Source organism: Homo sapiens, chromosome 5 (genome assembly GCF_000001405.40).
Source record: "Homo sapiens chromosome 5, GRCh38.p14 Primary Assembly".
Lineage (NCBI taxonomy): Eukaryota > Metazoa > Chordata > Mammalia > Primates > Hominidae > Homo > Homo sapiens.
Genome location: NC_000005.10, coordinates 150,263,377 through 150,285,671, shown reverse-complemented (window position 1 = coordinate 150,285,671; position 22,295 = coordinate 150,263,377). Strand labels below are relative to the sequence as shown.

Below are 22,295 nucleotides of genomic sequence, written 5' to 3'. Positions count from 1 at the left end.
TTGCCAAGGCTGCAGTTGGCCAGCATGGTTGACAGGGAGGAGAGGGCAGCTTCCTCGACCTAAGCTCCTTCTCACCTGGGTTGATCCACAGGTGGCAGTGTGGCCCAGAGGCAACTCCCTGTACTGAGGTCCTGGGGCCTGGGTGCTCAAGTCCTCTCATGGGACCCAAACTCTAACATCTGTAGAATGTGCTTAGCAATCCTGCCTTTCCCAGGCAGAGCTGTTGGGTGGACAATGTCACGTTGGAGAGAGGACACTGGGCATCCATGTACCCAAAGACTGGGGGCCGTGCTTTTCTTCCACCTCTTATACCCTCTCCTATCCACAGCACTTTGGGGCCGGCAAGGCTTTTCATCCATGAGCTCATCTCTGAAGGAGCTGGGCAGGGCTTACTCATCCATCTTACAGATGAGGAGACCGCAGCTTGAGGAGGTGGAGAGACTGGCTCAGGGGATTATGTCCAGGTCTCCAGCACCCAGCATATCGGGGGAAGACTGCTGAGAGGGATCGTGACTGGTGCCGTATCTGGGGAACATCCTCCCTCTTACCCACTAACAGGGGAAGAGGAGCAGTGGCCATGTGGGCAGGGAAACTCTGATGTTGCTGATTTTCCAATCATGATTCTGCCTCTAATTTACTGGGCCATCCTGGGTGAATCACTTGCTGTTTGTGTGCCTCGGCTTTACCATCTGTAAAATGGGGATCATAATACCTCTGGAGATGCCTGCAATGCCCCATTAGAGATGCCACGCTCTGTAGCCTCCCTCTGTGGAGGGCACATATGGGAAATTGCAGACCTCCGGAACATCAGAATTGTAAGGACCATGGAGATGCTCTGCTCATTGCATAGATGGTCCTTGCCTTGGTCTCTGGGAGCCAACACTCAGAGAGAAGTGGTTTGTCCAAGGCCACAGGAGAGAGAGGGCCCAGGCTAGGGGACTAGATGACGTGCAGGGACCAGAGGCCAAAGGATGGGAAATTGAGGGGCAGGACCTCAAGGAAAGGGTGGCAGGAACAGGGAAGGGACGAGCTTTCCTCCCTCTCCTCCAAGCCATCAGAGCGGCAGGCACGCACATGTTCTGGTGCACGCTGCAGCCCTCCGCCCCCGCGCAGCCGCCCCCACACAGGCTGAGACACACTGACACTCTGCTGAGCCTCCCTCCCTCCCTCCCTTCCTCCCCACCTCCCTCCACAAGCACACAGTGACACTGCTGCCAGCATGCCCTGCAGTCTGGGCCATGGCCCTCTCTGTGGGGTGAGGGCAGAGCCTCGGAGTGCAACACTCGCATCCTGTTGCTGATGCATGCGTGCTCACACACACACATGCGTCTTCACACAGCTCACGGGAGCACACACATGCACATGGACACACACACACACACTGGCTGTGACAGGGCATAGAGCACGAGTCCATCTCCCAGTGCAGGGATAGCAAGATGGTGCTAGCAGGGCTTGTCTTTCTCTGTGTTCTTCTCTCCATCTCTCTGGTCTCACTCTGTCTCTGTCTCTCTGGTCTCACTCTGCCTCTGTCTCTGTCCCTCTTTGCTGCAGTCCCCTTCTGCATGTGAACCACCTGTGGCATTCTCTTGGAGCTTCTCTGTGGCACTGTAGGAAGCCTCCTACCCCAGGCAACCTGCTGAGTGCAGGTGCAGCCCAACCTCCTGAGACCCAGCCCAGGTCCTCTAGGTCCTCGTGTGGCATGGCTGTCTACCACGGTGTCAGGTGGGACTCTAAGGCCAGTGAGACTTTCTGTGCTGGAGAAGGTTGAGGGCCTTGGTGTCTTAGGGTCATATAAGAAGAGGAACACATCTGGAATCCTTGCATCCTTTCAACAGGTATTTCCTGGGCGGGGTACTCTGTTCCCAGGCCTAGGTTGAGCCCAGCATGCACCACATGCAAGACTTAAGTAGTCTCTGCCTCACGGGGCTCACAATCCAGTGCAAAGCCAACATTAATTAAATCACTTCAGAAATCATTATTTACATGCAACTGGATAAGGGCTTTGGCCACACACATGGAATTGTGAGCTGCAAAGAGACCTCGATTAGTTGGGGTGAGGAAGGTATCAGGGAAAGTTCCCTGAGGCGGTGACATTAGGGAGCTGGAGGCTGAATAAGAGTTACCCAGAGGTTAGCTGGGCACAGTGGTGCACGCCTGTAGTTCCAGCTACTCGGGAGGCTGAGGTGGGAGGATTGCTTGAGCCCCGGAGTCTGAGGATGCAATGAGCTATGATCATGCCACTGCACTCCAGCCTGGGTGACAGAGCAAGACCTTGTCTCTATCTTAAAAAAAGAGAGAAAGTAAGAGAGAGGAGGAAGAGTTAACCAGAGGGAAGAGGGTGGAAGAGTGTTCCTGAGAGTGGGAACAACCCAGACAAAAGCTCTGAGGTATGTATTTCAGTGGAGCATGTCAGCCCTGGGGGATCTGGGGTCCCACTCTTCTCTGGCCTGTTCAGCCTGACCCCAATTTCCAGATGCTGGGTCCTAGCAGGACTATTAAAAACCTGTAGATTGTCTGGAAGAGGGGGCCAGGCAGGGTGGTGAAGGTCTGGAAGCTGAATCAAGTGAGAGAACACCAAGGAATTGGGGGGCTTTAGCAGACAGAAGAGATCCCTTGGGGACTATGTCTCCCCCTTCCCCAACATCTTATGTCTGCAGAGATGTCCTGGGGCCTGAGGGGCCCTAGAGGCAGAGCTGCCGACTCTGTAGAGTAAGGGAGGTAGCTTTCAGCTCCACAGAAGGAAGACATTCCAATGGTCAGAACTGCTCCTGCATCCCACAGCTGGCTGTGGCCTCAGGAGCTAGTGCTCTGGCAGCAGAGATGTGCAAATTCCCACTCTCATCCATGGCCTTACCTTCCTTGCAGGCCTCCTGCCCTAGGTCCCTACCCTCATCTGGGGAGATGTTTTTCTGAAAGAATGATATGGGAGATGGTTTAGAGCCATGGTACCCTCAGTTCGATTCAGTATATTGGAGGGAAGAGGGCTCCATTGTCTTACAGATGGTGAGCTAAGGCCCAGAGAGGGTGAGGGCGTTGCCCATGGTCACACAAGCCAGTGACACATGAGAACTGGACACTCCAGTGTCTGTCCACTCCAGTGCTTGGCTGTCCTACCCCTGGAGGCCTCTCTCTCTTTGACGCTTGGACCTCTGAAAGCCTTTGTGGTGTATACTCTGGACAGGGACAGGCCATCAAAGACCGAGGAGTAAGTCACCCCTTGGCATGTCCCTTGCCTTGCTGGGCTCTGGCCCTTCCTTTAAGCACTGTAAAGAGAAAATAGAATATTTTTCTGTTTTTCTTTTTGTGACCCATACAAAAAAACCCTTGCACAGCCAAAACAAGGAATATGTTGGAACTTCTGTTGGTTCAATGTTCCCTGCAGCAAACAGATTCTTCCGGTTCCTAGCCCTTCTGTGTCCCCCACGAGACTTCTGCTGGATTGGTGTTTGGGGGCGGGGGGCAGTGTGGGACAGCTCGAGCACACTGCGTCCCTGCAGCATCTTTTAGAGTCTGGGAGTGGGTGGCTGCAGCCTCAGGCGGTCGAGAGGACGGGAGAGGTGTGGTTTCAGTAACAGGTCCTAGGATTTTCTAGCTGTATAATGCTTTGTTCTGTGGAGTTCTGCTTACAGAGCTGGGAAGAAGTGGGGAGAGTCAAGCAAAGGGGATAGTGAGCATCCAGCCCCATCTCCTCTGATCTATTTGCCATTTGAGAAGCTGCATAGCTGTGTTTTGTTTGTTTATTATTAACAAAAGGTACTAATGCCTAAATGGGAAAGAAAGAAAGAGAAGGCTTAAAAATTACTTATCAACAGTTGATTTCACAGATGGGTAAGCTGAGGCCTAAAAGCTTCTCATTGTTTCTGAATGAAACTGACCCCAGCTTTTTAACTGTTTTGGGAATTAGGAGCCCTCAGAGAATCTCAAGTAAGCTGTGGGTACTCTCCCCCTTCCAAAATGCACACTCACTGCAACACGCAGAATGCTGCTATTTTCCACAGGTCCTCCTACTCCAAGCCCAACTATGGACCTCAAGGTCGGACCCCCTCTAACCTGAGAGTACTGGGTATTGGAAAAAGCAATGACTATGAATCAGCAGTCCTGGGTTCAAAGTCTTGGCCCCAGTTTCTTCAGCTTTGGAATAGGAGGGGGTGGACTTCAAAAGTAAGACATTATGGGCTATACAAGGTTCTGATGCAGCCACATGTGGCCCAAACTCTAGCCCAGTGCGTGGTGCTGCCTCTGTGGCCAACCCCAGCTCTTTCTCTTCCCCCAGGCATTCTAACCTCTCTATTCTGGGTTCCACGTCCTGGGTGATCAAATCAGCCAGCTTGGGCTATGTGTTACTGACCACCAAGGGGTTTTGGATGCAGATTCTCTTACAGGTAACAGATCTATCTGCATTTGACCAGGAACTTTCTGAAATACCCCCAGCTCATCTCAGAGAAGTGAAATGCTTAAGTATCTTAACCAAGAGTGGGGAAATTTTGGGGAAGAGACTGGGCTTTGATTATGAGGTAACTGCCATGTAGCATCTAGGCAAGATAATGAGTAGCTAAAAATACGGGGCTAGAGTTCCTAAGACAGGAGGGGGCTCTGGATGTGGATTTCAGTTTTGGGTGATGGTCAATGGCTTTAACTATTTGCAGAGTCATGGACTGCTTTGCAGAGCTGATGACTACGCATCCTTTGCCCAGAACAATGCACAGACACAGAATCATTTTAATACAGTTTTAAGTGGGTTCACAAATGCCCAGAGCCTCCCCAGAGATCACAGCTAATGGCCCCTGGTAGAGGGGATGGGCAGGAGTGGTAAGAGGGTGGGTAGAAAGAGGCCGGGAGCAGCAATACTGAGGGAAGGTGGGGCAGCAAAGGCACTGTCAGTGATGGAGAAGGCTGGGAGAGCACGGCGACCCAGAAACAAAAGGAAGGGCGAGCTCAAAGCTGTGTTCAGTGGGGCCAAATGCTACCTGGGGTGGGGCAGGCAAGGTGCATTAGGCTCCAGCGGGGACTGCAAGGGGTAGTGGTGAGGGTGGGAGGAGGCATGGGTGGGCGAACCTGGCGCAGGCATTTCTTCCATGGAGCCCTGGGGGCGGCAGCCAGATTGTGGTGGGTTCATGGAGTGTGGGAGGTGGGAAGAGGAGGCGGCGGATGTCGGACATTTGTTCTGGAAGTTTGGCAGCAAAGAAGAAGGGAGGAAGGAAACAGCCCAGGCTGCTGGGTCGAGAGAAAGGTTCTCGGTTGTTTTGTTTTATTTGAGGAGAGAGTTTTATTTTTCTGGAAGGAAGGAGACCTGAGCGTGTTTGAGGAAACAGTCAATGAAGAGCAGACACTAAAGACTACCGTAAGGGGCCCAGACAATCAGACCCCCACGGAGAACAGAGTGGAGGGAAGTGTTGGGTGATTGCTGTCCCCAGAAGGCCACGATAGATAAAAAGTGTTCCTGTTTGCTGAGACTCACAGATGTAACGTGGCTCTGAGTGGCTTGGGGTGAAGGTGAAGAGGCTTCCTTTAGAGAAAGTGGCAGCAACCAGTCTTGAGTAGCAGAGACCCCTCACAAATAGCCCCAGAAGGGAGCAGGGCTGGTCGCATCTTTCAAATGAGGAAACTGAGGCCCAGAAGAGTAAGCAAGCTGGTAGCCAAGCTGAGTGAGGGCTCAGGACTTCTGACTCCCCATCTAGTGCTGCTGGAGCTGCACTTGGCTGCCATGTCAACTCTTCCTGCTGTTTCAGGCCAGAGAGGGCAGTGGGCCCCTTTGGGCTGGCAGCCAGCTACACCCAGGCCACCTTGTCTGCCAGGCAGCTAGAAAGCAATTTCCCAGCGTGAATCTTGCTTTTCACAGCCCATTAGCACGTTCCCACATTCTCAGCCATGCGCCGGACCCACTGTCACTGTGCCCTCTCCGTCTGTCTGCCGAAGTGCCGGAGGGGGGCCTCCCTGCCTGCCCACACTCCTGCTCGTCCACCCTCAGGGGCAGGCTACTCAACCCTGGTGAGCAGCCCCTTCTTTACCTCGCTGTGGCTCCCACACACGTCCACCTTGGCTTGCTTCTTCCCCGAGCTTGGCAAACAATGTCCATTTTGTTTCTGATGATGCCAGCTGTCCTCCTCTCTTCATGGATAATGATGCCTACACAAGGCATTGTTCCTTGAGCATTTACTATACCCCAGGGACTCTGCCAAACTCATTGCCTACCTTATTATCTCATTGAATCCTTGAAACAACTGCATAGGGTTGGTACTATTATTATCCGTATTTTGCAGTGGGGAGGAAACAGGCTTACTGAGGTGAAGTAGCTTGCTAGGAAGAAGTAGCTGACCCACAATGTGAACTCTGCTCGGTCTGATTCAGGAGTGCCTGCTCTTCTCTATGTTGAACCGCGCTCTCCAATGTGGCAGTCATTAGCCACATATAGTTATTTAGATTAAATAAAATAAGAAATTTGGTGCTCAGTTCCACTGGTCCCATTTCAAGTGCTCTGTAGCATCTGTGGCTAGTGGCTGCCGCAGTGGACAGCTCAGGGTGTGTGCATCATCACAGGAAGTTCTGTTGAATGGCACTGGTATGAAACACGAGAGCTGAAAAGCCACTGCATTCCTGAGCCTCATCCTTACCCCAGCCTCCACATTGTAGATGAAGAGACTGCGGCCCTCACTGGGGCTGGTTCTTGCCCAAGTCCTCCCAGCAGGGCTGAGGGCTGAGACTTGGTTCCTCCGGTGTCTGCCTGTCTGTCTCTCCCCCCACACACCCCTCCCTGCCTACATTCTGTGACCCTCTGGCTCACGTGGATGCACGCCTCATACCTAGGGTGATATACGTGTGCTTTGTCACACCTACAGCCTCACAGCATCACACTCTTAGGGGCTAGACCAGGTTGCCAATACACGCCTATGGCCAGACACCCGCCCCTTGCACCCAGGAACACTTCCCCCACCCCTCCTCCTTTGCACCCAGGGGCATTCCCCTACACCCCTCGAGGAATTCAGAAACACTTTCACAGGCACTTCCAGGACTGCCCATGGCCATCCGCCACAGCTCTCACACCCAGGCCTCATCCCTTCCTCTTGGGACTCTTGGCCATCGCTTCCCACCCTTGCCCTCCCCAACTTGGCCTCGTTGCCTCTCCTGCCCTGTCCTGTTCCCAAGCTCTGGCCCACCCACCCATCTGCTGGCTGCCTGCTCAGCTCAGGGCCACAAGAGGAGTGGGCTGGCTCTTCTGTTTGCCAAGGTTTCTGGGCTATTGCCACTTGTTCATGCAGGACAAGAATACAGAAACATGCTTTTTTTTTTTTTTTTAAACAGAAGATAAAAAAGGGAGGAAGTTAGGGCTGCCGACTCACTGCCTTCACTCTCATTTTGGCTATGACTTTCCTCTGATCCCCACTGCCATGGCAGGCAGGGATGGAGCCTGGGGCTGCCTAGGTAGCAGCCCAGCCCCTTTCCTTGCCTCATTCAGACCCCCTTCTTTCCCAACTATGTCTCATGTGCTTGGTACTGTGCCAAGTGTTTTGCACTAGTTACCTCACTTAATCTCCCCAACAAACCCAGGAGGTAGAGGCTATTATTGCCCTCTAACAGGAAGACGCAGAAAGGTGATGTGTCAAGTTCAGCGTCACACAGTTGGGGGTGAGCTAGGATTGGACTACAGGTCTTTGTGACCCCAGAGCCTCTGCTTTTGAGGACCACATTCTTCTGTTGTTGGTTGAGTCAGAAGAAAAAGTGCAAGTGACCTGGATTCTCTTCATAGCCTCAATTAAGAATATGCCTGCTCACTTGAGGCCTCAGTTTCCTGATCTATTAAATGGGAGATCAGAATTCCAACTTCACAGGATTGCTGTGAGGATCAAAAGGGTGCTTAGTGGTGAATGTATATTTGAAGGGAAGAAGACTTCTGCGCTTGTGAGGGGCTGGTACCCTCTGGATCAGCAGCTCTAAACTTGTTTTGAGAAACTCCTCTCTCTGAGCATCTGATAAAAGCCATGCACCCTTACCTGCCTCCAAAAAATGCACTTGCTTACATTGGGATGTACAGGGTATCCTTCAAGGGGTTCAGGGTCCCCACACTACCCCATCTACGGCATGGACCTTCAGTGAGGAGCCTCTAATTTACACAAAAGCTTGGTGCTGTTCTGAAGAGGAACTTCAGCACGTATGGCTTCTCTTGTTTTATAGACGTAGCTCTTACGGCCTTGGCTCACTGAGCCAGAGCCCAGGCTCATGGGGCCTGTCAGGCCTCCCTGTGCAGAGCCCCCCTCGCTGGCCCCCATCAGTGCTGATTTCCAAGGGAGACAGGATACACAGCAGGACTTCCCCGGAAGGCGTTGGGCAGTGCTGGGCTGCCTGGGAAAGAATCACCCACAGACAGAGTTAAAATGAAATTACAAATTCCCTGGGCCTACACCCAGAGGTGCTGATTTAGGAGGTGTGGGTGGGACCTTGGAATCTGCTTATTTTTTCTTTTGAGACAGAGTCTTGCTCTGTCACCCAGGCTGGAGTGCAGTGATGCTATCTCAGCTCACTGCAACCTCCCACTCTGGCACTTAAGTGATCCTCATACATTAGCCTTCTGAGTAGCTGGGACCACAGATGTGTACCACCATGCTCAGCAGTAGAGATGGGGTTTCGCCATGTTGCCCAGGCTGGTCTCAAACTCCTGGGCTCAAGAGATTCTCCCACCTTGGCCTCCCAAAGTGCTGGGATTGCGGGCGTGAGCCATCACGCCCGGCCAGAATCTTTTTTTTTAAAGATCCTCCAGGGGATTCTGAGGCAGCCAATTTGATAATCACTGATCTAAGGTCTTTACCTAGAATGGAGTTTTGCCTCTCTAATGGAGAAATTATACTCATCCCTCCCTCCCCCGTCCAACCATCCCTTCCTCTATCCCTCCATCCACCCACATATATTAATTGAGCTGTAGCTCTGGACCAAGCTTTGTCAGGTGCTGGTGAGCAGGACGAGACCCAGCTCCTGCACCCTGGAGCTCACAACCTTCCCTGCTTCCTGCCCTTCTCTTCCTGGAGTTCTCAGAACCTTGCCCAGATGTGGCCACTTTAAGCTTCTTTCTCATAGGGCTTTTGAGAATCATGGCCCCCAGCTAGAGGGGGACCTAAAGGTCTTTGGGGTCCATCCCCATGCCTGGGTAGGGTGGGCACCTTTGAGAGACTAGTTGTCCCCCACCTTCCTTAGATGACTGTTCCTATTCCTAACACCCCATCTGAAAATCTCTTCTCCTGTCTCACTTCAGTTTCTCTCACTCTTGCTGAAATCCACCTCCTTCTCCTGCAAGTAACACTCATGGAGGCTCTATTGGCACTAGACGCTGGGTATTCAAGCACTGGGGGCAGAGAGAAGAAAGTGAAAGTCCTGGCCCTCAGGAACTCACTGTCAGGGTGGGAGAAATAAGCAGGTGGAGGAGCCGCCACCAATCTAAGTTAGATGGGGATGTAGGGTTGTGGAAATCTAGAAATAAATAGTTGGTCATTGTCCCTGGTTCTTGGCACAGAGCTCCCCAAACCCTTGTAATTTTCTAAGTGATGGGGGTACTAACAGCATCTTTTGTTCTAATATTTGGTCTTAGAACCCAGTTCCTGACTGAAAGCTCCCAACTGCCTTGGAATTTCCTGGGTGATGAGAACATCTTTTGTTCTAATGAGGCAGCTTTGGGTGGGTGCCTGTATGGGAGCTGGTCACAGAAAGACCAAACCGTGGCCAGAAGCTTGGAACTTTCAGCCCCTCTCCCCATTCTCAGGGAGGGGAGGGGGGCTGGGGATTGAGTTAATAATCAATCATGCCTAGTGATGAGGCCTCCATAAAGGTCTCTTAAGTACGGAGCTGGGAGACCTTCTGGTTTGGTGAAAACATCCACATACCCCGAAGGTGACACACCCCAACTACATGGGGACTAAAGTTCCTGTGTTCAAGATCCTTCCAGACCTTGCTCTGTGCCCCTCCTCATCTAGCTGTTCATCTGTACCCTTTATCATAACCTTTAATGTAAACACACACACATGCACAACTGGTAAATGTAAGTAAGCGTTTTCCTAGTTTTGTGAGCCATCATAGAAAATGATAAAAGGAGGGGGTTGTGGGATCCCCCAGTCACTAGCTGGGTGGACAGAATTGTGGGTAACCTGAGGACCCACTATTTGTGATTGGTATCTGAAGCAAGGGGAAAGTCTTGTAGGACTTAGCCCTTAACCTGTGGGGTCTGCACTAACTCTAGGTAGTTAGTTTCATAACTGAATTATAGGATACCCAACTGGTGTCCAAAGCATCAGTTGGTGTGAAAAAAAACCCCTTCATAGCTGGTGGCCAGAAGCATGGGAATGATGGAAGAAAAGTGAATTTTTTCTAAGCAGGGGTGCTCTGGAAGCACGGAAGAGGGGCTGCATAGCAGGGGAGAGTCTCAGGGAGGGGACTGGGGTCTTGCTGCTTTCTTCCTGGTAGCATATGGACAGGCTGCACGCCCCAAGGAGGAGCCACAGCTGTGTGAGGCCCTCTGTGTGCCCATGAATTCTGGCCCTCTCTAGCTTTCCTACAAGGTTATATTTCTTGGTCTCTAGTCCGTATCCTGGCTCCTTCCTCCTCATCCTTCTGCACAGTTTCCCAGCCGCTCATTTCCTGCTGCCCAGACATGAAGCCAGTGATACCATGTTCAGGGCTGTGTGCAGAGCAGGCATCTGTGCTAGCCTGCAGGCTTCTTCGGTGCCTGCCAGCATCCTCCTCTGCCTTGTCAGCCTCATCTTTTTGTGGGCTCGGAGCTGCCCATAAGCTTGGGATGGGGCATCCAAGTTTGAAGGATGTGATGGGTGCAGCCATGTCAAAAACCTGGGCATGGCCCAGCATGCCAGGAAGTGGAAGACTTACTTGGTGTGGAAGTCACATACCCAAGAATGCTAACATCTGAGTTCTAGACACAGCTCTGCCTGTTATGAACCATGTGACCTTGGGCAATCTACACTGAACTATACTGGAGCTCAAAGTCTTGAGGAATCATAACCTGCATTTTAACAAGGTGCCTGGGTGATTTCCATGGACATTTAGATTTGGGAAGCCTGCCCAGGAGACTCTCTTCTTGCCATTAGCATGGGGTTAGGGTGCCATAGTGGTGACTACGGTCAGTATCGGGCCCTTTAGGAGTCTCCTCTGTAGATGAAGGGGTTGGAGCACATGGCCTTTTTGGCAAAGAGTGCAAAATGGCATCTAGACTCCAGATCTAGCCCTTAGACAACTTTTGTTTGGCCTAATACCATCCTCAAGTTCTTTTGGAATAGGTGCCAATATTTAAAAATTGGGAAACTTCTCATCAATATCCAGACTTGTAGCTTTTCCTGAAAAATCAAATGAGGTAGGAAATGGGCCACATTCTACATGGTGACAATGTTTTTCCCCTGTGAGCTGGAAAGCTCACAGACCTTGCCCCAAGTTCTCTTATAATTACTAATAGTTTGAGGATAAAATCCCAAGAGCCTCTTAACACATGAAAAGATGCTCAGCTTCACTCTTAATGTGACAATTACAAATTAAATTACAGCAAATTGCCATTTTCCACCTGTCTCTTTAGCAGATATAAAAAAGTTTGATAATACACTGTGTTGACAAGGGCAAAGGAAACAGGCACTCTTGCATTCTAGTGGGAAAGTGAGTTGGTACAATCTTTAATATGGACAATCTCTCATTATCCATTGAAATCAGCAAACAACACCTACCCCTTGACCAGATAACATAAGTTCTGGAAATGTATCCCACACAGACACATGCATACATAGGAGATATAATTCTAATGCACACATACACGGCTAGTCATTGTAGCATTGTTTGTAATGGCTATAGATTGAAACTAATCTGAGTGCCCATCAGTAGGGGACTGGCTGAATAAAGGATCGGACAGCCATACAATTACATACTAAGTAACAAGGAACTCTTATGTTATGATATGGAAGGATGATCTCTAAAAATATATTATTCACTGAAAAAAGGAAGGTGGAGAACTCTATACAAAGTCCAGTCCATTCGTGTGTGGGACACCATCTGTGGAAAGAGACTCAAGGACATGGTAACAGTGGTAATCTCTGGGAAGGGGACCTCAGGGGCTGCAGTACAGGGGCGGGAGGGGGTCATTTTACTACCTATACCCTTATATCTTTTGAACTTTGAACCATATCCACGTTTACCTACTCAAAGAATAAAATCTAAAAATGTTCAGAGACCTGGATTCCACGGTTCTAACACTACGTGATTCTAATGTTTTACAGCATGATGAGCCCGACTTTGATGACGTTGGCAGGCTCCTCTCACTTGAGGCCAAGCTTCTAATCTTCTGCTTCTGGATCCATCTTCTGGGTCTCTCTGGCCTCGCTGTGTCCCTGAGTTGGGTCACAGAAGCCCCTGTGAGCTTGAGCAGCTCTGATGAAGGGCTTCTGTCTAGCGTGGGGCAGTGATGTGAACTCCAACATCTCCTAGGGACACAGCCCTCAGGCATTCCCTCACCCTCTCCACCTTCTCTGTCCTCCTAGGGGAGCCTTCTCGGTGGTGCGAAGGTGTGTGAAGGTGCTGGCTGGCCAGGAGTATGCTGCCAAGATCATCAACACAAAGAAGCTGTCAGCCAGAGGTAGGTGCCTGATTTCTACCCTGCCCACCCTCCAGGGCTCTCCTCTCTCCCCTTACCTGTACTGCTTGGTTTAGACCAGGATCCAGGGCTGAGCCCCTGGGTGATACTTATGGCAGGGGTGGGGGCTGCTCTTCCCGGGGTGTCATGAGAATAGACCTTCCCTTTTTCCTTCTTTTCCTTTTTTTCAAGGCTGGAGAGCACAGACTCGCCCAGACAGGCCAAGCTCTGTGCCTCACGGGTGAGGGCTGAGACACCAGATGGGCCCTCCTTTCCCTACTCTCTTGCCACTTGCCATCACTTCTCCCCTCCAGACCTCTACCCTTGCCATTCCCTCTGCCTGAACGCCATCTCCTGGCTCCTTTCATGAATGGCTGTTTCTCAGCCTTCAGGTCTCAGCTGAAGGTCACATCCTTTGAGAGGTTTTCCTGACCCCTCAATCTGATGAGGCCTCCTCCATTTTCTGTCTCTCTCTCTCTCTTTTTTTTTTTTTTTGAGATGGAGTTTCACTCTTGTCGCCCAGGCTGGAGTGCAATGGTGCGATCTTGGCTCACTGCAACCTCTGCCTCCCGGGTTCAAGCGATTCTCCTGCCTCAGCCTCCTGAGTAGCTGGGATTACAAGCGTCCACCGCCATGCCCGGCTAATTTTTTCTCTTTGTATTTTTAGTAGCGATGGGGTTTCACCATGTTGGCCAGGCTGGTCTCGAACTCTTGACCTCAGATGATCTGTCTGCCTCGGCCTCCCAAAGTGCTGGGATTACACGTGTGAGCCATCACGCCCAACCTATTTTCTCTCTCTTATTACTATTCATTTCCTTTATGGCTTTCCCTGACCTAGACTCATCCTGTTTACTGATTAGGCCCCTTGTTTAATACCCACCTCCCTTTCTGGGCTGTAAACTTCAAGAGTATGGGCTACTCTGCACCCAGCACCTAGGACAGCACCTGGCACTCAGAGAGGGGCCAGTGAACTCCAAGTGTGCTTGGCTTCAGCCACGCCACTCTCGGGTCCTCCAGAGAGTTGGTCTGGGGTGTGATCTGGGTTTTGGAAAAGATGCCCAGATAACTCTAATTTGCAGATGAGTTTGAGAACCACTGCCTTAAGACCTTAGAAGTGGTCCTGGGCCAGCGACATCAGCATCCCTAGCAGCTTGTTAGGAAGGCAAAGCCTAGAGCCCCACTCCAGACTTGAAGAATCTGAATCTGCATTTTAACAAGACACCGGGGTGATTGTGGACGTTAAAATTTGGAAAGCCTGCCCAGGAGATGCGCTTCTTGCCATTACTCTGTGTTTGAGACAGTGATGGTGGTAACCATGGTCAGTGTGTTGGAAAGGGTTATCTTCAGAGAGGCCAGTCCCCACCCTGAATGAAATGGTGTATAAGCTTTCCTTGGGACCGCCTGGTGGTGGAGGGAATTCTGTTGGGTGAGGTGGGTGCAGGTATGGGCTGTACAATCCATGGTTTGTGCAGTGCGGGAGATGTTGTGTGAGGGGCTGGCAGAGTGTCCAGGTGTTTGATAGGCGCAGCTGTGTGGGGCCAGGGCCCAGCAGGTGCAGGTTCGTGGCAGTCCTCACAGTGGCTGGTACAGGAGGCTCATGCTGCTCCCCGCAGGCCTCCCGGCAGGCCTCATGTTGGACTGTGTGTTGCTGCCTTTCTTCTCTGGCTCAGTGTTGCTGGGAGCTCAGCACTTTCTTCCAGTTACCGACCTCCCGCCAGTGTCTTGCAGGTCAAAGAGGATCAGCAGAGGGGGTGGCTGGGGTTAGGGTGAGGGTCTCTGAAGGACCAGGAGCCCCACGTGCTATACAGTCAGTATGAAAAGTCCAAGCTTGTGGAAGGCTGGGAACTAGAGACAGGGTGGGCAGGAATGCCAGCAGAGGTGTTGCCTCATGGCCAGATGCCTGGATTGGCCTTGCCATTGCTGTGTGACTAGCAGCAGTCTGGTGCCCTCTCTGTGCATTGGGTGTTGAGTAACCAAGGGAGATGTCCCAATCCCTGAGATACAACAGGGACAGGGGGTGACGGGTTAAGATTGCCCCAGTGGGAGAGAGGGTCAGGCACCAAGGTGGTCCCTGGATGCTGGGGATCTCGGGTTAGTTCACCACACTCTCGAGGCACATTCACACACACACTTGCACGTTGACCAAAAGAGACAGATGTGTATGGGAGGGTGGAAGGGCCATGGCTCCTGTTTTGGAAGGTGACTAAGCACTCCTGGGACAGTGCAGACCCTGGGCTATGCCAGACAGTCACTGTCCAAACCGCCTCTCTTTGGCAACTTGTTGAGTCCTTGACCTCTTGGAAGGAAGGTGGCCCGGCCTAGGTGAGTGTTGAGGGGGTGGGGAGGTTATCAGGGAACCTTCTGGAAAAGTCTGCCAACTGCCAGCCGCTTTTCTTCCCAGCGGGAGAGGAGGAGCAAAAGCTTCTTTTAGCAGGATTCTTTGTTTGCCGCTCATGGTGCCTCGGGGGCGGGGAGGGGGGGTTAATGCTGAATATTTGGCAACACACTCTAAGCATCTCCTGCTGGTGCTCCTGGGTGACTTCTGGCAGCACCCAGCAGGGGCTGTGCCCACCCTCCCGGGAGCTGTGGCTTTCTTTTGCCCACCCTGCCCAGCCTCTTCTAGCAAGCGGTTCCCAAACCCACGATATATTTGTGTATGTATTTTTAATCTAGTCTTTTAAAAAATGTTCGTAGTATAAACAATTCAAAGAAACCATGAAGAAATGAAGTGAAAAGTGAAAATTTTGCCTGTTCTAATCCCTGCCGAATACCTTTGGGAGCTTTTTAAAAAAGGCAGCTGCCTGAGTTCCACCCATGAAGTTGGATTCAGTAGGTGGGGCCCAAGCCCCTGCATTAAAAAAATCCTATCATCAGTAACAGTAGCTATTAACACCAACCTAATACAATAATACAGGCTCAGTGTTAACCCCCATCAGGTGCTGTATAGCCTCCTAGCTCGTCCTCCCCACTGCACACACAGAGGTAGAATTCTAAGGGCGCATTGGGCACATGCATGAGGCTGGTGCAGCTAGAGGTGACTGGCCTGGGCACTGTGACCTCCACAGGCCCCACTCTCCAGCTCGAGCATGAGGGGGTCACTTCCTCGGCTCCCCAGTGACAAGTCTCGGGGCACCAGGTGGGGAGCATGACAAGCTCATCCAGCCTGCACTAGAGTGTCATTCAGTTCCCTGCAAGGAAGCCTCTGAGGGGACGGCAAGACATGTGCTTCCCATCTCTCCTGTTCTCCTCCCTACCCCTTGCCTGGCACTCTTGCTCCCAGGATCAGGCTGTCCTATGCAGGGAGCAGGTACTTCCTGTTCCCAGACTTCAGGTCTCTTTTCTCTCCTGGCTTGTGTGTCTCCTGCTGGAATTTCGGGCCGCCTGCCTGCTGGAGTCCACTAATTATTAGAATGGGGCTGGGTTTGGTGGCTCACGTCTTTAATCCCAGCACTTTGGGAGGCCAAGTTGGGAGGATCACTTGAGGCCAGGAGTTCAAGACTAGCCTGGGCAACATGGTGAGACCCCCGTCCCTATTAAAAATATAAAAAATTAGCCGGGCGTAGTGGCGGGTGCCTGTAGTCCCAGCTACTCAAGAGGGAGACTGAGGAGGGAGAATCACCGAGCCCAGGGGAGTCCACTCCCTTCTGGAGGTAGAGTCCTGCCCATTTGTGTGATTGAAGGTCTTCCAGGCCTGCCCTGTCCTGTCCCACCCTGCTGGGACTGTCTGGCCCCAGGGACCTCACCCCAGAATGTCCATCCACCTCTGCCTGCTGAGCTCTGCTGAGCCTTGCCATGCTCTTAGCCCCCACACCCTGGAGGTGACCCAACCATCTGGGGAGGAAGCAAAAAGGTTCCCAAGATATCATCATGGGCATTGGGGAAAGCTCCCCCAGGTCCCCAGGCAGGAGGCTGAAGACTTCTAGCTTCCCTCAGATCTCTCACCATCATGGGACTCTGCTGAGCCAATGGATCTATTCATCAATTAATTAATTATTAGAGTGGGGCTGGGTTTGGTGGCTCATGTCTTTAATCCCAGCACTTTGGGAGGCGGAGGTGGGAGGATCACTTGAGGCCAGGAGTTCAAGACTAGCCTGAGCAACATGGTGAGACCCCCATCTCTATTAAAAATATAAAAAATTAGCCGGGCATGGTGGCGGGTGCCTGTAGTCCCAGCTACTCAAGAGGGAGGCAGAGAAGGGAGAATCACCTGAGCCCAGGAAGTAGAGGCTGCAGTGAGCCGTGATCCTGCCACTGTGCTCCAACCTGGACAATGAGAGTGAGACCCTGTCTCAAAAAAAATTATTAGAATGGGAAGCAATATAGTATAGTAGCTATGTACATGGATTGAAATCTCAGCCCTGCCACTTGTTTGCTATGGGATCTTGGACAAGCTGCTTAGCAGCTCTATGCCACGCCCTGGGAACGTGGCAGTGACCAACAGAAAAGGTCTTACTCTCATTGTGCCCATTTTCTGGGCAGTGAGACTGAAAAGAACATTAAACACATATGTCAGCTGGGTAGCTTCAGGTAGTGACAAGTGTTAACCAAGAAAATAAGACAGGGTATGGGGACGTGATGTGGCAGGAGGGACATGCTTAGAAAAGGCAGCCAGGGAATCTCTCTAAGGAGGTGACGTTGTGCCGGGGCCTGCCTGATGAGAAGACCCAGGGAAGAGCTTTCCAGGCAGAAGGCACAGCAGGTACAGAGGCCCTGAGGTGGGAAGGAGCTTGGTGTGTCAGGGCAGAGAGGAGGCCAGTGTGGCTGGAGCTTCCTGGCCGGAAGGTGAGGCCGGACCCAGTGAGGAGTTTGGATTGTGCTCTAAGTATATTGGGAAGCTGTTGGAGAGTTGGAAGCCAAGGAGGGACAGGATTTAATTGATGTTTTAAAAAGAGCTCCTTGGTGGGTCCGGGCACGGTAATCCCAGCACTTTGGGAGGGCAAGGCGGGCGGATCACAAGGTCAGGAGTTCGAGACCAGCCTGACCAGGCCAGCATGGTGGAACCCCGTCTCTACTAAAAATACAAAATATTAGCCTGGCATGGTGGCATGTGCCTGTAGTCCCAGCTACTCGGGAGGCTGAGGCAGGAGAATTGCTTAAACCTGGCAGGCAGAGGTTGCAGTGAGCCAAGATCGAGTCACTGCACTCCAGTCTGGCCGACACAGCGAGACTCTGTCTCAAAAAAAAAAAAAAAAAGCTCCTTGGCTGAGGGGAGGAGTGGGGGGAAGATGCAGGGGTAGAGGCCTCAGAGCTCTGAGTTTTCAGAGTGATTTTGGTGAGTGATTTTGATAAAGGGACTCTTCCTTTGTCAACAGGCCTCAGTTTCTCCACCTATATAACAGAACACGGCCTCGGAGGTCAAAAGAAACATGGTCCCTACATGTCTTAAGGTTCTCTGTATATTGGAAAATGAAAACACTGCAAACAGAGTTACCAGAAATATTGTATAATGTATATGTTTACACTCAGTAGGATGAATGCTTTCAACAGTGAAAATGCAGGTTAATTGTACCATGCATAAGATGATGTAAGATTTATACAATTAGTTCCTAGCATTTCCAGCAATAAGGTCTGGTAACCAGATACAAGTTTACAGTTGCATGGCCAGCGTTTTCTTCTTTCAATCCTGTCAATATTCTCTGCTCCTGGGTAAACTCACAGGGAGAAAACAGCAACATTCTGGATTTGGGGCTTCTGCTTCCTGAATGTATAGCCTAAGCCAGAAGCCTCCTTCCCACTCTGACAGGCCTGACCTTGACCTGCCTGAGTTCTGGTTCTGCTGGAGGTGGGATGGGGGGTAGGGTATGGGACGTGGGGTAGGGCATGGGACGTGGAGCAGGGGGAGGGCCCCGCCTGGTCAGCTCTGGATGGGCATCCCTTCCTCTGCCCAGAAGTCAGCCTCCCCTACCCTGGAGGATATGAAAGGAGCCCACGGAGGGAGGAGGAATCAAGGGATGCCCCCCAACTTGGCCCCACCTCCTTATCCCTAGCTTGCAGCTGGTTTTCAGCTGGGGAGTTGAGCCATGGAAACTGAATTGGACTTAATTGCTTTGCTGGTGGAAAAGCCACCTTTCAGTATTGATTTTGGCTTCTGCAGCCCTTGGAGGACAGCCAGTGATTGCTCTAGTGAAGGGGGCAGGGGAAAGGGGAGCTGGATTCCTGGGAACAAGGGCTGGAACTTTCTTCATTCTCACCACCCCCCCACCCGCATACCTGCCTACTCTGAGAGGGCCATTCAGGGCCAGGGTTCTAGTGTTGGCTCGGTGTCTGAGTGTTGGCATGAGTTTCCTTCTGTGGGTCTTAATTTTTCTATTTGGGAATTGGGGGCAAGTGGAGGTAGTGGTTATGAGCTGGGGCACAGAGAACAGTATAGCCCAGGATTGAAAGCCCAGCTCTGGAGTCTAACTGTCTGGGTAAAAATCATAGCTCCACTGCTCACTGCGGGATTGACTTTGGGCAGGTACTTAACCTCTCTGAAGCTCTGTCTCCTCTTCTGGACAGCCAGAAAAATGATAGTAACCCCCTCAAAGGATTGTAGTGAGGGCTTGAAAGGCATATAAAGCCCTCTGCACAGTGCTTGGCACAGAGTTTTTAAAAAGAGATTTCTTTTTATGGTTTTGTTTGTTAAATTAAGGCGTTAACTACCAAATTGTGAAAAAAGCACCAAAAAGGAAAATGGGAAATGCATTTTCAGTTCCAGCTCTGCCACCACGGAGGCTTCAGCTTGTTCAGGCTGCAGTTTCCTTATCTATAAAATGGGGAGAGTGGTGGTCCCAGCCCAGGATTGCTTGGGGGCACGGAGTAGGATCATGTGTCCCACTGTTCCCAGCAGCTGGAGAATCAGAAGCCACAGTGGCAGATCCTGAACAAGGCCTCTCTCCCGAGTGTGTGGGGAGCCCCAGGAGACTTGCACAGCAGTCCAGAAGGCAGGAGGGAGAGCTCTGGGTGGGCCCCTGCAGATTCTTTGGGGCTCTCTGTGTCCCTGGTCCCAGAGTCTCCTGAAAGGGAGGTGGCTTCTGGGAATCAACACAGCCCTCTGGAAGAATAGCCACTCCCTTAGAAAGGCACATTCATTCAATCATTTATTCTTTCATGTGGTTATTTCTTTTTTCTTTTCTTTTCTTTTTTTTTTTTTTGAGATGAAGTCTCGCTCTGTCGCCTAGGCTGGAGTGCAGTGGCGTGATCTCAGCTCACTCCAACCTCCATCTTCAAGCAATTCTCCTGCCTCAGCCTCCTGAGCAGCTGAGATTACAGGCACCTGCCACCACACCTGGCTAATTTTTGTATTTTTAGTAGAGATGGGGTTTCACCATGTTGTCCAGGCTGGTCTCGAACTCCTGAGCTCAAGTGATCCACTTGCCTCGGCCTCTCAATGTATTGGGATTATAGGTGTGAGCCACTGTGCCCAGCTTCATTCAGTTATTTCTTGAGCACCTAGTATGTGCCAGGTGTTTGGGTAGATGTCAGGGGTACAACAGAGACGAAGTCCCTGCCCTCAAGGAACTAGATATCCATGAGACTGAGTGGGTCATGCTGTTCGGGGGCTCTGAAAGCACAGAGGATGGGCCCCTGCCTGCCGCCAGGGGCCTGAGACTAAGGATTGGTAGGAGTGAGTGATGGCCAGTGAACGGCAGGTGGGAGGTAGAGTAAGTGTTTCAAGCTGAGAGAACCGCATGTGCAATTCTCTCCTGAAGTGAGAGGGCCCAGCGGGATCTGCTTGTAGAGGTGAAGTCGGCCATTTAGTCTGGCTAGAGTATAGGGCCTGAGGAACAGGCCTGGAGGAGTCTCGGAGAAGCCTCACATTTAAGAATCATGGAAACGGAGGCCAGAGAGGGCGAGGGATGTGCTTGAGTCACTGCAACCCAGGCCTCTTCCTCTTTCCACTGCACCCCATGGTCTTCCTGGAGAACTCAGAGGCCCTGGCCAGAAGGTGAGCTTTCCCAGCCCCCAGGGGCTGCCCTGGGAGGTGGAGATAATACGAGGCTTTGAGAAGGGGGAGATGGAGGGTAATGGTTCCTTCCTCACCGGGGACTCACATGAGCCTCTGTGTTTCAGACCATCAGAAGCTGGAGCGTGAAGCCCGCATCTGCCGCCTGCTGAAGCACCCCAACATCGGTGAGCCTTGTGGGATGAGAGGGGCGCAGGGGAGCCAGGCCCTGCTCCCCTGCCCACCCTGGCACGTGGGTGTTTGCGGGTTGGGTGGAGAGCAGCTGCTCTCTTCTCTGGGGATGGAGGCAGCAGAGATGGGAAAGGGGGCGTCTTTAATGGTTTCCACATTCCTCAGAGCCAGCTTGTTTCGGGGGAAGGTGAAGAAAGGCCCTTCCTCCCATCCCACACTGCCGGCAGCCTCCGGAAAAGCTGTTTCAGGAAAACTTCTAAAGCTCTGGGAGAGATGAAAATAGGCCAGGGGGACATGCTTGGCCTTGACCGCTGTGGCCCATTCCCCATACCCACACCCATGCCGATTCAGCCTGGCACCGTGGCCCTGCCCTCCTCCGTCGACCTGGCACCTGCCTGCCTACAGGGTCAAGCTCCAACTCAGGCCCTGGCCCACAGGCCGGGCACAGGCTGCATGGAGAGGCTGGGCCATGGCAGGCTGGGACAGAGCCAGGGCAGCAGAACCCGTGGGGATGGGCTCTGAAACAACACCTCGCTGCCTGGCCCCCCTTCTTCAGCCCTTGTGCAATTGGGGGGCTGATCCCTGCCTATGAGGGTGCTGAGTCATGAGGGCAGGAAGTGTGGCTTTGAGGGCTAATTCTGTCAGGGAATTGCTGTGGGACCTTGGGCAGGAGCACTGCCCTCTCTGAATCACTTCCCCCCATCCTCTGAGGGAAGGTCTGTCTGAACCAGCATCTTGGGCACCTTGTGAAAAGGTAGACTTGGATTCACTGGGCCTGGGATGGGGCCAGGATTTTGCAGTTCTAACACTCTCTGAGTTGATGCCAAGCCTGCTGACTCATAGACCGCACTGAGGAGCAGGGCCTAGGTGATCGCTAAGGACTCTTCCAACTCTGACAGCCACCATGCCTTCTCACAAGGCAGGGAAGCCTCTCTCCGTGCCCAGGGCCCCAAGGGTTAACTCTCCTGCCAGAGAGAAGCATCTCCATCTGCTATTTATACCCAGAAGGCACCTCCCCTTCCCTGCACAAACAGCAGCCAGAGGCTCCGGGACCAGCATCAGAGAGACATCCCTGGGTTGGCAGGGAGCAGCCCTGTTTGAACCCTGGTCCCTGACCTACTAATGTCCTCACCATGTGGCCTTCAGCAGCCCCTGCCTATTCTGGGCCCCCAACCCCCCAGCTGTGTGATGGAGGGGGTTGAGAGTGATCTCTGACTGTAAGATCTTATGGTCCTTACGGAGGCTACCAGCTCCAGTGGAAGGAGGGGAGTGTGTGTTAAGTGTGTGAGAGTGTGTGGAGTGTGTGAGTGAATATGTGTGTGAATGTGAGTGTGAGTGCGAATGTGTGCGTGTGAGTGTATGTGTATGCATGTATGTGTGTGTGTATGTGACAGTGTTGGAGTGTGTGTGAATGTGTGTCTGTGTAAGTGTGTGTGTGAATGTGTGTATGTGAGTGTGTGAGTGTATGTGAGAGTGTGTGGAGTGTGTGAATGCACGTGTGTGAGTGTGTGAATGTGTGTGTGAATGTGCGTATGTGAGTCTGTGTAAGTGTGTGTGTGTGAATGTCTGTGTGAG

General features: G+C 51.9%; 1 protein-coding gene across 5 annotated transcripts in view, besides 1 other annotated feature; it reads left to right on the top strand.

Moving 5' to 3' along the window:
- Positions 1–22,295, top strand: part of CAMK2A (calcium/calmodulin dependent protein kinase II alpha) — a 70,640-nt gene that overhangs the window by 4,459 nt on the left and 43,886 nt on the right. For all 5 annotated transcript variants that reach the window (NM_001363990.1, NM_001363989.1, NM_171825.3 and 2 more), the window contains 2 exons: positions 12,513–12,607; positions 20,657–20,716. In NM_001363990.1, the coding sequence (NP_001350919.1) occupies positions 12,513–12,607; positions 20,657–20,716 (155 nt within the window). The remainder of the gene's footprint in view (positions 1–12,512; positions 12,608–20,656; positions 20,717–22,295) is intronic.
- Positions 20,449–20,984: an enhancer, noted in NCBI's record as "H3K4me1 hESC enhancer chr5:149644251-149644786 (GRCh37/hg19 assembly coordinates)". NCBI's record gives its function as "activates a minimal SCP1, AML or CMV promoter by ChIP-STARR-seq in primed H9 embryonic stem cells {active_cell/tissue: H9 hESC(primed)}" and the evidence as "EXISTENCE:reporter gene assay evidence [ECO:0000049][PMID:30033119]".